This window comes from Homo sapiens, chromosome 11 (assembly GCF_000001405.40).
Source record: "Homo sapiens chromosome 11, GRCh38.p14 Primary Assembly".
NCBI lineage: Eukaryota > Metazoa > Chordata > Mammalia > Primates > Hominidae > Homo > Homo sapiens.
The window spans coordinates 78439614-78451954 of NC_000011.10; the positions used below are offsets into that span (position 1 = coordinate 78439614).

At 39.0% G+C, this 12341-nt stretch overlaps 1 protein-coding gene across 24 annotated transcripts in view; it reads right to left on the reverse strand.

The window, feature by feature from the left end:
- The window catches only part of NARS2 (asparaginyl-tRNA synthetase 2, mitochondrial), a 138897-nt gene that overhangs the window by 3646 nt on the left and 122910 nt on the right, over positions 1-12341 (reverse strand). For 19 of the 24 annotated variants that reach the window (NR_189155.1, NR_189156.1, NR_189154.1 and 16 more), the window contains 2 exons: positions 4048-4145; positions 1478-1504 (listed from right to left, as the gene is read on the reverse strand). Coding sequence is in view for 18 of the 24 variants with exons in the window: in NM_001243251.2 (NP_001230180.1) it covers positions 1478-1504; positions 4048-4145 (125 nt within the window). In the remaining 6 variants the exon portion in view is untranslated. Of the gene's footprint in view, positions 1-1477; positions 1505-4047; positions 4146-12341 lie in introns of those variants that run through there. The other 5 variants (NM_001425314.1, NM_001425303.1, NM_001425300.1 and 2 more) reach the window with 2 other exon arrangements.

Below are 12341 nucleotides of genomic sequence, written 5' to 3' on the forward strand. Positions count from 1 at the left end.
TTAAATATGCCTAAGGTCATTACTGGTTAATATAAGGCATTCAAAGGCCATCACCTGAAGCCAATTTTAGATTTTTTTGCATCTCTGAAACCTATCTCCTTCCATACCAAAAGGCGAGGGTGTAGGTAACTTGCCCCTTCCTCTTCCTGAGCACAGCACAAGGATTAATAATATTGTTGGTATTATTATACCAAGATCCTGAAGGAGTGCTAATATAGAAATATAAATAAAAAATGTATATATATTGAAAAGTACTTGAAGAAAAAGTCTGCATAAGGAAAACCAAAACAACTTTGAGGAAGTGAATGTATAAGTACAGACACGTGGTCCTCCCTAAGCAGCTTGGATTTCTATAGTTCGTGGGGGCATTAGGGATCACTTAGCTCAAGCCCCTAATTTCACACATAAAGAAATTGCAGCATAATGCTTAAGAGCAAAGGATTTTTTTAAATTAATTAATTTATTTTTTGAGACGGAGTCTCGCTCTGTCACCAGGCTGGAGCGCAGTGGCACGATCTTGGCTCATTGTAACCTCCGCCTCCCAGGTTCAAGCAATTCTCCTGCCTCAGCCTCCCAAATAGCTAGGATTACAGGCACACGCCACCATGCCCAGCTAGTATTTGTATTTTTAGTAGAGACAGGGTTTCACCATGTTGGCCAGGCTCATCTGGAACTCCTGACCTCAAGTGATCCACCCACCCAGGCCTCCCAAAGTGCTGGGATTACAGGCGTGAGCCACCATGCCCGGCCGAGCCAAGCATTTTGATTCAGAGAGATCAAGCCCCATCTCTATCCCTCAAACTGTGTGACCTTGGCTAAGTTAGTTAACATCTCTGGGCCTCATGCCTAGGGAGTAATAAGAAGGGTCAGGATAATAGTACCTAATTCACAGGGTGGTAGGATGATTACATGACATAATATAATTTTTTTTTTTTTGAGACGAAGTCTCGCTCTTGTCCCCCAAGCTGGAGTGCAATGGCGTGATCTCAGCTCACTGCAACCTCTGCCTCCCAGGTTCAAGCGATTCTCCTGCCTCAGCCTCCCAAGTAGGTGGGATTACAGGTGCCTGCCACCATACCCGGCTAATTTTTTTATTTTTAGTAGAGATGGGGTTTCACCATGCTGGCCAGGCTGGTCTCCAACTCCTGACCTCAGGTGATCCACCTGCCTTGGCCTCCCAAAGTGCTGGGATTACAGGCGTGAGCCACTGCGCCCAGCCAATATACATAAAATTTTTAACATAATTATCTGGCACACAATAAGCAGTAAGTAAATGAGAGCTATTATTACTATTTTTCAAGAACCCAAAGGAAGTAAGTAATCTTCTGAGCCCCCAACCCCTTCCCTGACCTAAGAACAGTTAAGTTCATTGTTTTTAACACTCTTTCATGGGGTCTTGGGGATACAAGTAAAAACGCTTCTAGGCAACAGTCAGACAAGCAGCTAGAGTAAGAATTATTAGGGGCCACATTCTTACCATTGGTAGACTTCTGTAAGTCCCGATCTGTTTAAAGGAAAATAAAATTCTTTCAGGGAACGGCAATAAGATAAATATTAACCACTAGACATTTATTCTGGGTGTGTGCAAAGAACTCTTTATGAAGAAGTAGACGACAAAGCCTCTGCTCTCAAGTAATACTCAATATAGTTGAGGAGCTGAAACCATACAGTAACTTAACCAATAGCACAAGGTGTTATCAAATAAATGGTTTACACAATAAATGTTATAGAAAGAAAATATGATCCAGAGTCCAAAGGAAGGGATTCACCTGAGATGAGTTTATTATCCTGTGACATAAGAAAAGCACTATTATTAGGCAGGGTGCAGCGGCTCCTGCCTGTAATCCCAGCACTTTGGGAGGCCAAGGTGGGTGGATCACTTGAGATCAGGATTCCAGACAAGCCTGGCCAACATGGTGAAACCCCATCTCTACTAAAAATACAAAAATTAGCTGGGTGTGGTGGTGTGTGCCTGTAGTCCCAGCTACTCGGGAAGCTGAGGTAGAAGGATTGCTTGAACCTAGGAGGCAGAAGTTGCAGTGAACCAAGATCATGCCACTGCACGCCAGTCTGGACAACAGAGTGAGACTCCATCTCAAAAAAAAAAAAAGAAAAGAAAAGCACTATTATTACTAGTTAAGGTTGTTGGGAGGCACACACAGACAAGGGACACAGAGATATAACTTTCATTCTTCAACATTAAAACAATAATATAGATTCTGAGGCTGCCTTCATAATATGGTTGCACATTGATTCTTGTTTGAGAACTATTAATAAAATTTTAAATTCTTAGTGGTAATTGAAATTCAACTCAGCCCTTTAAAAAATGTGTTTTGGACCACAGTGCATCTAATGTGACCAGGAATATGAAAAATTCAAATATACAAAAATACAGAAAACATGAAGAGCAGCCATAGACAGATCCCTGAAATAGGGAATCATATATATCCACTTCATTACGAAAGACAGATGTGGCTATTATCAGGTATTAGGTAAACATTTAATGTTACGAGGAAAGGTTTCCTGGAGGAAGGAAGCAAGCAAAGAAAACAGACCAATTAATCTTTCAACAGATGAGGTTTCTTGCCATGTGTGATTTTTATTGTGCTTTTTAAAAAACATAGAGAATACTCAGATTTTTTCAACTAGAGTCTGACCTTCAATTCCACAACTTTCTCAGGACTTTTTTAATGCTGTAATAGTAGTAAGGAGTTAGTCGTCTAACGAATACAGTCTTCCTCAAACCTATTTATCCATCCCCTTTCTTTTGGATCCTAACCCAGTAGAGCAGTTCAGATGAGTGGGATAACAAAACTAAGTTACCCAGGAGATTTACATATAGGTTGAGACCTTGAAAAAGCATCAACTTTTAAAGCATTTCCCCATTAGGAAAAGAAGGCCTCACAAATGGCTAACAGAATATTTTTAAACAATTATGGCTTTTCCAGATTACTATGAAACCCAGTACTATCTGGAGAGAATGAAGCATACAGACATGGTAAAGTCTTTCTTTTTTTTTTTTTAAGTCTGGCAGTACTTTTACTAAAGTAGGAATCATGGAAAACAGGTATGGTTAGTTTAGGAAGTCATTATGGCATATAAATGTATATGTAGGAGTGGCGGTTCAATTGAAACATGATTCCTTACTTCCCATCTCCAAAACATTCTCTATGTGTTTACAGATTTGTTTCCCAGTTCTCAAACAGCAAGTTAGAATAAAGTTATTCAAATAGCTAAATCAAGACCCTTACATAGAAGAGAATCTGAGGAAGTGAAATGTGCTTATTCTAAATGCTATCTGACTAGTTTTCTTTCCCCAACTTCATCCTTTCCCTGGCTCAGAGTTTGTCTTTATGTCCTTATAGAAGTCTGCCAATCATAATTGAGAGTAAATAAAGAACACAGATAAGATAAAAATGTAGGACAAGCTGGCCAGGTGCGGTGGCTCATGCCTGTAATCCCAGCACTCTGGGAGGCTGAGGCGGGCAGATCACGAGGTCAGGAGATCAAGACCATCCCGGCTAACACGGTGAAACTCTGTCTCTACTAAAAAATACAAAAAATTAGCCGGGCGTGGTGGCGGGCGCCTGTAGTCCCAGCTACTTGGGAGGCTGAGGCAGGAGAATGGCGTGAACCCCGGGAGGCAGAGCTTGCAGTGAGCCAAGATCGCGCCACTGCACTCCAGCCTGGGCAACACAGCAAGACTCCGTCTCAAAAAAAAAAAAAAAAATTAAAAAAAAATGTAGGACAAGCTTTAAGGGGGAACTCTCTCTTCACATTTTAACTTTTTAAAAAGCTACTTTCCATAGGGAAAGGTTTGTAAAAATGGGCAAATATCACTGTGGGTTTTTCATGTAAGAGTTCCATTCCTGAAGAACGGGAAGCTCAGAGATAAACTAACAACTTGCTCAAGGACATAGAGAATCTGAGATCCAGTTCTGTCAGGCGCCGAGGCCCAGGGTCTTCACTCTGTTACTATGCAATGACCACCTTTGAGCGCCTTATGCTCAATTTCTCAATTGTGTTTCTTTTAGGTCTGACCAGTACCTGGCTAAGCGCTCCTCTAAGAAATGGTATCGTTCTTCTCTGAGGCCTCCTCCAAAGAGTTCCCCAACTCCAGGAACCAGAAGATCAACAGCAGCAACCTAAGGAAAAAAAAAAAATTATTAGCATTATATTTTCAGGTGATTCCAACAGTCAGTTTCTGAAGCAAGTAAACCTTTAACATTTTGGCAATGGCTAATTAACTACCTACCAGAATCTTACTGACTACATACAAATTATAAGTGGACAATTTCCTCTCTCTTGCACCATTTGTGTAGTATACTGAACACAAATGTATTTTCTTCATAAATGTGATAGAAATGTTAATTATAAAAATGTGGATAGTGTTAAAAATTATGAAACATTAAAAATCACCTATCAGTACCAGAAAATTACATTTTTGTGGATTTCCTTTCAAATTTTTTCCCTTATACATTTATAAAGTATAATTACAGATAAAAACTTACCACTTGTCTTACCTAATATTACAAACTAATATTTTTCCTATATTAGTAAAAATACTTCACATTATGTTTTAATAGCTTTAATGTTTAATAGTTTATTGATTAGAATTATAATTATTTAACTGCTTTCCTTTTTAGTTGAACATTTAAGGTGTGTATATTTTTGTCTGTTTTTTCTTATAATGTGGCAATGAAGAGTTTAATTTGTAGTATTGTTATTAGGACATATAAAATAAATTCTGATTATTAATCAAAGAAGTATAAAATTAAAAAAACAAGATACCATTCTGGAGTTATCAAAATGGAGATGATGGCTGGGCACAGTAGCTCACACCTGTAATCCTAGCACTTTGGGAGGCTGAGGTGGGCAGACTGCCTGAGCTCAGGAGTTCAAGACCACCTTGGGGGCAACATGGTACAACCCCCGTCTCTACTAAAATACAAAAAATTAACTGGGCTTGGTGGTGCATGCCTGTAATCCCAGCTACTTGGGAGGCCGAGGCAGGAGAATTGCTTAAACCCAGGAGGTGGAGGTCACAGCGAGCCAAGATTGCACCACTGCATTCTAGCCTGGGCGACAGAGCAAGACTCTGTCTCAAACAAAACAAAAAAAAAAAAAAGGGTGATAAGAAAATAATATATCTGCAAGACTAAGTCTGAAAGAAAAAATATAGGAAAATAAAATAAAGAATACAGATTATAGAATGGATAAACCAATAAGCTCATATAACTGATACAACTTTTCTGGTCAGCAATTTGGCAACAGATAACCAAACGCCTGAAAAATGCAATATGTTTTGACTCAGCAAGCAGTTCAAGGAACCTATCCTAAGAAAATCAGAGATGCAAAAAAAGATTAACATGCAAGATGTTTATTACAGCATTACTTATGACAAAAAGTTCAAATGTACATCAACAGACTATTAGATAAGTTTTAGACATGGATAGAAAAAAGACTATCATCTACATAATGAGATGTTGTGTTGCTACTGTGATGAGATTACAAGTATTTTAAAATTGTTTTCCTCTTTTATTTGTATTTTCTTATTTTCTATACTAAACAGGTATTATAGTTTTATAATAGAAAACATCAAAAAACTCTTAGTAAGGGAAAATGATAGCTTAATATTTTAATTTGTATTTCTTCAATTACTAATTAGTATTACTAAATTAATTATATTTCTTCAATTATTAAATTAGTAATATTTAATTTTTCAGGCCGGGTGCGGTGGCTTACGCCTGTAATCCCAATACTTTGGGAGGCCGAGGTGGGCGGATCACCTGAGGTCAGGAGTTCGAGACCAGCCTGGCCAACCTAGTGAAACCCCCTCTCTGCCAAAAATACAAAAATTAGCCAAGTGCAGTGGCGCATGCCTGTAGTCCCAGCTGTTCTGGAGGCTGAGGCACGAAGAATTGCTTGAACTTATGAGGCGGAGGTTGCAGTGAGCCAAGATCATGCCACTGTACTCCAGCCTGGATGACAAAGCGAGATTTTGTCTGTCTCCCAAAAAACAATTAAAAAAATTTTTTTTAAATGTTTATTTGTGGCTGGGCACAGTGGCATGTGCTTGTAGTCTTGGCTACTTGGGAAGCTGAGGTGGGAGGACTGCTTGAGGCCAGGAATTTGAGACCAGCCTGGGCAACACAGCAAGACTCCGTCCCTACAAAATAATTTTAAAATGTTTATTTGCAGCTAGGTGTGGTGGTGCATGCCTGTGGTCCCGGCTACTTGTCAAACTGAGGCAGGAATATCACTTGAGCCCAGGAGTTCGAAGTTACAGTCAGCCATGATTATACCACCTGTACTCTAGTCTAGGCGACAGGCAAGACCTTGTCTCAAAAAAATATATATATATTTATTTGCTATCTGTATTATTTTGTGACTTTCCTGTCTTTTGGGCAGGTAGACATTTTTAAGCCCAAGAACCTGAAGGTAAAAAACTAAGATTTCATGTAACAAATGAAAAATGAGAAATCCATAAAACACATTTTAATCTTTAAATGTCACATTACATTATAAACATTTTAAAAACTTTGCCTCACTTTGCCGTTAAGCCATCCCCTTCCCAGTTTTGATTTAGAAACTTTTGATTGAGATATACTTTATGAATAATCAACAATAAAGAATAATTCAAGATTGTACCCCCAGTGCTGTATACCTTATCCTCATTACTATGATTAAAGAGAAAAACATCAGCTCTGACCCTCATCACTAGGCTGAATCAGAGTGAGCAAGAACAGCTACACAATTAATATGGCTGGGCTCTAATCAGGACCCTGCAGTTATCCCTTCTGTCCTCAGAGCAAGGAGGAAGTCTGGTATCTTTATTTCCTGGTGTCTTGCTTTTAGATATGGCTAAAATATGATAGGAGTTGAGAGACACATGGTAAAAATTTTGTTCTTTTCTTACCTTCAATCCAGAGTGTTAAATTTAGAATTATAGGCAATCAACTTTGGAAAAGAATAGTCAACCAGTGGCTCTCTGGCTTCTGCTTGAAAATATTTAAAGCCTGAGAAACAGTATCCTTGAAACAGAGCATTTCATCCTTGTTTAGCTCTAAAATTAACTCAAAATGGATTAAAGATTTAAATATAAGATCTGAAATCATAAAACTACCAGAAATAAATATAGAGAAAAAGTTCTATGACATTAGTCTGGGCAATGATTTTTTTGGAGATGACTCCAAAAGCACAGACAACCAATGCAAAACCAGACAAATGAGACAGTATCAAACTAAAAAGTTTCTGCACAGCAAAGGAAACAATTAACAAAGTGAAGAGACAACTCAAAGAATGGGAGAAAATATTTGCAAACCATACATCTTATAAGGGGTTAATACCCAAAATACATAAGGAACTCATACAACTCAACAAGAAAATAACGTGATTAAAAAAAGGTAAAGGAACTGAACAGACATTTCTCAAAAAAAAAACAAACAAACATACAAATGACTAACAGGTGCAAGAAAAAATGCTCAAAATCACTAATTATTAAGAAAATGAAAAATAAAACCACACTGAGTTATCACTTCACACCTGTTAGTGTTTTTTTTTTTCTTCCTACATTTATATTTTTAAATAGAGATGGGGTCTTGCTGTGTTGCTCAGGCTGGACTTGAACTCCTGGGTTCAAGCGATCTCCTGCCTCAGCCTCCTAAGTAGCTGGGATTATAGGTACATGCCACCATCAGGCCCAGCTTTGAATGGCTGTTATAAAAAAGATGAAAAATAAGTTTGGAGAGGATACAGAGAAAAGGAACTCTTATACACTGTTGGTGGGAATGTAAATTAGTACCGTCATTATGAGAAATGGTATGGAAGTTCCTCAAAAACCTAAAAACAGAACATACACCTCAGCAATCCCACTTCTGGGTATATATATCCAGAAGAATAGAAATCAGTATATTGGTGGTGATATCTGCACTCTAATGTTCACTGCAGCATTACTCACAATAGTAAAGATACAGAAACAACCTACGTGCCCATCAACAGATGAATGGACAAATATTGTGTATATATATACACAATAAAATACTATTCAGCCTTAAGAAGGGGGTAAATCCAGTCACTTGTGACACATGGATGAATCCAGAGGATAATGTGCTAAGTGAAATATGCCAACCACAGAAAGACAAATACCACATAATTTCACTTACATATGGAATCTAATAAGCTGAATGAATAGAAATATATAATAGAATGATGGTTACCAGAGGCTGGAGTGGGAAGGAAGGGAACGAAGAGTTGCTGATCAAAGGGTACAAAGTTTCAGATGGACAGAGGAATGGGAGACAGGGGAATGAGTTATTAATCAAAAGGTGCAAAATTTCAGGCAGAAGAATAGATTTTGAGATTTATTACATACAAGGTGACTAGAGTCAACAATACATATTATATATTTTAAAATAACTAAGAGTAAATTTCAAATGTCTCACTATAAAAATGATAGATAAGTCAGGTGAAGGATCTGCTAATTAGTTTGATTTAATCATACCACATTGTATACACATATCAAAACAGTACATTATACCCCATAACGTTAGAATGTTGCATATACTTATTATATATATGAAACAATGACTTGTCAGAACCAGACGAAACAAAACAAAAAAGAAGGGATAGGTATATTCAAAACCTATCATTTTCAAGGCTTCAAAATAGGAGTGATTCCATGGGACAAGGGTGGGTAGTAATCACTTTTTTTTTTTTTTTGAGACGGACTCTCGCTCTGTAGGCCAGGCTGCAGTGCAGTGGCGCGATCTTGGCTCACTGCAACCTCCGCCTCAGCCTCCCGAGTAGCTGGGATTACAGGCACATGCCACCGTGCCCAGCTAATTTTTGTATTTTTAGTAGAGACGGGGTTTCACTATGTCGGCCAGGCTGGTCTTGAACCACCTGATCTTGAACCACGAGGTCTTGACCTCGTGATCCACCCGCCTCATCCTCCCAAAGTGCTGGGATTACAGATGTGAACCACTGTGCCCGGCAGTAATCACTTTTGATACTTTAAGTACATGTAAAGGTTAAAGCCAGGGTTAGAAAGGTCTACTGCCTCAAAAAGATGCTGGAGAATCAGAGACTATGGAATAACCGGAAGGAGGTAGACCAGATGAGACTGGTGGCCAGTGATGAGGAAGATGAGGCAATCCTTGGTAAGATGTTCTGCTTTCTCTATGCAGTTCATGAGCATCAAATGAGAGATGTACTTGTTGCTGGATCTTGCTGCTAAGATAACTAAAACAAACAAAAGTCCTCTGGGTATCTTTGCATGCAGATCTAAACCACGTTAATTTTGGATCTTAATTCTTTTAATGCTATGTTTAAAGGAATATAAAAGACTCATATTTATTTTGATTATAAACTTCCTTTAATATTTGAGTTCAGGAGAGAGTTCACTGTGCAACCACACTGACTTTTCTCTCTGGCTTTTATTTATCTGGAATATCTGCAACTGCACAGTTATAGTTGTGTAACTGGAAGTTTCTAAACCTTTTGAGTCACCTAAAAAATGTTTTTTTTTTTTTTTTTTTTGAGTTGGAGTCTTGCTCTGTCACCCAGGCTGGAGTGCAGTGGTGCGATCTCGGCTCACTGCAAACTCCACCTCCCCGGTTCATGCTATTCTCCTGCCTCAGCCTCCCGAGTAGCTGGGACTACAGGCACCTGCCACCATGCCCGGCTAATTTTTTTGTATTTTTAGTAGAGACAGGGTTTCACCACGTTAGCCAGGATGGTCTCGGATCTCCTGACCTCGTGATCCGCCTGCCTCAGCCTCCCAAAGTGCTGGGATTACAGGCGTGAGCCACCGCGCCTGGCCAAGTCACCTTAAAAACCTTATACCATGGTAGGATAGCTACGTTAAAAAAAAAAATTTTTTTTTCTCCCAAACTTGCCTTCCTAATTTCCAGTGTACCTAACTGGTTATACACAACTATTGCTGCACTTAGTATAAAATTAAGGTGAAAGTTGTTGTATTAGTCAGGATAGGCTAGGCTAAGCTATAGTCACAAACAACCCCAGAAGCTTACAACCAGGTTTCTCAATCTCAACATTAATAACATTTTTAACTAGATACTTCTTTGTTGTGGAGGCCTCAACTGTGCACTGTGGGATATTGAGAAGCATAACTAGCCTCTACCCACTATAGGCCAGTTATACTCCCCTTGTTGTAACAACCAAAAACATTTCCAGACATTACAAATGTTCCTTGGTGAAGAAAGAGGGGAACATAATAATCCCTGGTTGAGAACCACTAGTTTAAAACAATGAAAGGCCTTTTAAAAACACAGGCCACATGTCCACCCTGGTCTAAAACTGATAGAATAATCTCTTTCTAGGGTACTGTTGGTCTTGGGGCAGATGGGAAAAAGATCATGTATGACTATGTACTAAAAGCATTTGTACAGAAGCAACGTATGTATGTCACTTCTCACATTCCTCGACCAATGCAAGTCATATGACTCAGGTCACATTAATGGGACGGGGAAGCATAATTCCCACTGAGGGAGAAGCACAAACTATATGTGCACATAAAACAGTTTTCCATGTTGCTTTTTCCTCATCTACGTGGACTCTTAAACTTCCACCCTCCCAAACAATCCTTCAATGTTAATTAGAATTAAAGGAAGAACAGTAGTTCTCCTATTTTCTTCCTCTGTACTCTGGGAGATAAACGAATCAGTATGGAAGAACTTACCAAAATAGGCTATTTTCACGGGATAAAAATTTTAGAAGACATCTGGATACAGTCCCACACCACTACTATATCTTTACTTGGTACTAATTTAATGGTATGCAGGAGGAACACATATCATCTTTGTTCTTTCTTTGCCTACATGGTCTGAAAATTCACATTCTCTCCAGTGGTCAGTCTCCTACATGTTTCCTTGACAAGAGTGCAAAGTTGCTTCCCCTCTTAAGATACCTGTATCTTTTGAGCAAAGCATTCCTTTACAATGTCTCATAATTATTTCAGGACCAAATGGTACTATTTCTTTTTCAACAAGGTCAGGTGAACCTCTGAAGAAAAGCCCACAAAAGCCTTGTCTTTTTTTTTTTTTTTTTTTTTTTCCTGAGACTGAGTCTCACTGTGTCGCCCAGGCTGGAATGCAGTGGTGTGATCTCAGCTCACTGCAACCTCCGCTTCTCAGGTTCAAGTGATTCTCCTGCCTCAGCCTCCCGAGTAGCTGGTATTACAGATGCATGCCACCACGCCTGGCTAATTTTTATACCTAATTTTTGTAGTAGAGATGGGGTTTCACCATGTTGGGCAGGCAGGCCTCTAACTCCTGACCTCAAGTGATCTGCCCACCTGGGCCTCCAAAGTGCTGGGATTACAGGCGTGAGCCACTGTGCCCAGCCCTTGTTGTCTTTTCTTCCTCCATGTAACATTCTTCTTTTCTCTTTTACTTCAGGTTTAGGTTCCCTTCCACCGTATCAGATTCTAATACTTCCTGTTTTTCTTTTATAACTATATCCTCCTACCTAGCTAAAGATTCTGCACACTCTCTGAGAAGTTATAATACAGCAGAGTATTCTTCAATTACAAATAAAGACACATTTTGAATACACAGAGTGTACTTTCTTCTGGTATATCAAAAATACTGCATTCTCTAAAGATCACTAGAACAATTCCCTCAAATTTTCACACTCTTTAGTTAGGATTGAAATTCCAGGTAGAATTCTTCTACCTTGTATCTCCCCCTGATAACAACTGGGCTAGTTACTAGAAAAACTACCTCTTTCTCCTGGGTTCTCCTAGAGATAAAAGGTACATAAAGATATAATACAAACACACAGGCAATTACACAAATTTCTTGGAGAAGTAATGACAAAAACTTGATTGTGTGTTTCACAAGTTATTGGGAGCCGGTTAAGAGTGCAGGCAGGTTGGAAACAAGAAAGTTGGCATTTGCGGGTGATGACAACTTGCCTTTATGGGCAGGCAGGTCTGTGGTTTATGGGAGGCTGAGACTGGCTTATAGAGCCAAGGACAATAAAGACAGGAGGAATTAACTTTGATTAGGGAAAGTGGGGAAGGTTCATGAATAAATAAAAAGTGCTACAGCAGAGATTAGATTTTATCATAGCTAACCATAAAGCATTAGGTGCTACAAGAAAAATACAGATAAAGTACCACAAATAATCATATAGACCATGGTCACTATCAAAAGCTCAGATATTGATTGTCTACTAATGGCTCTTCCAGCCAATTCCAGTGTGCTTTTAGAGTACTGCAAAGGTGACTCTGAAATTGAGCAACCGTCAATACCCATTTTCTGCCCATTTGGCTGTTGCATGCCAGGCTCTCCAAATAGCCGGACTCTAGAGCACAT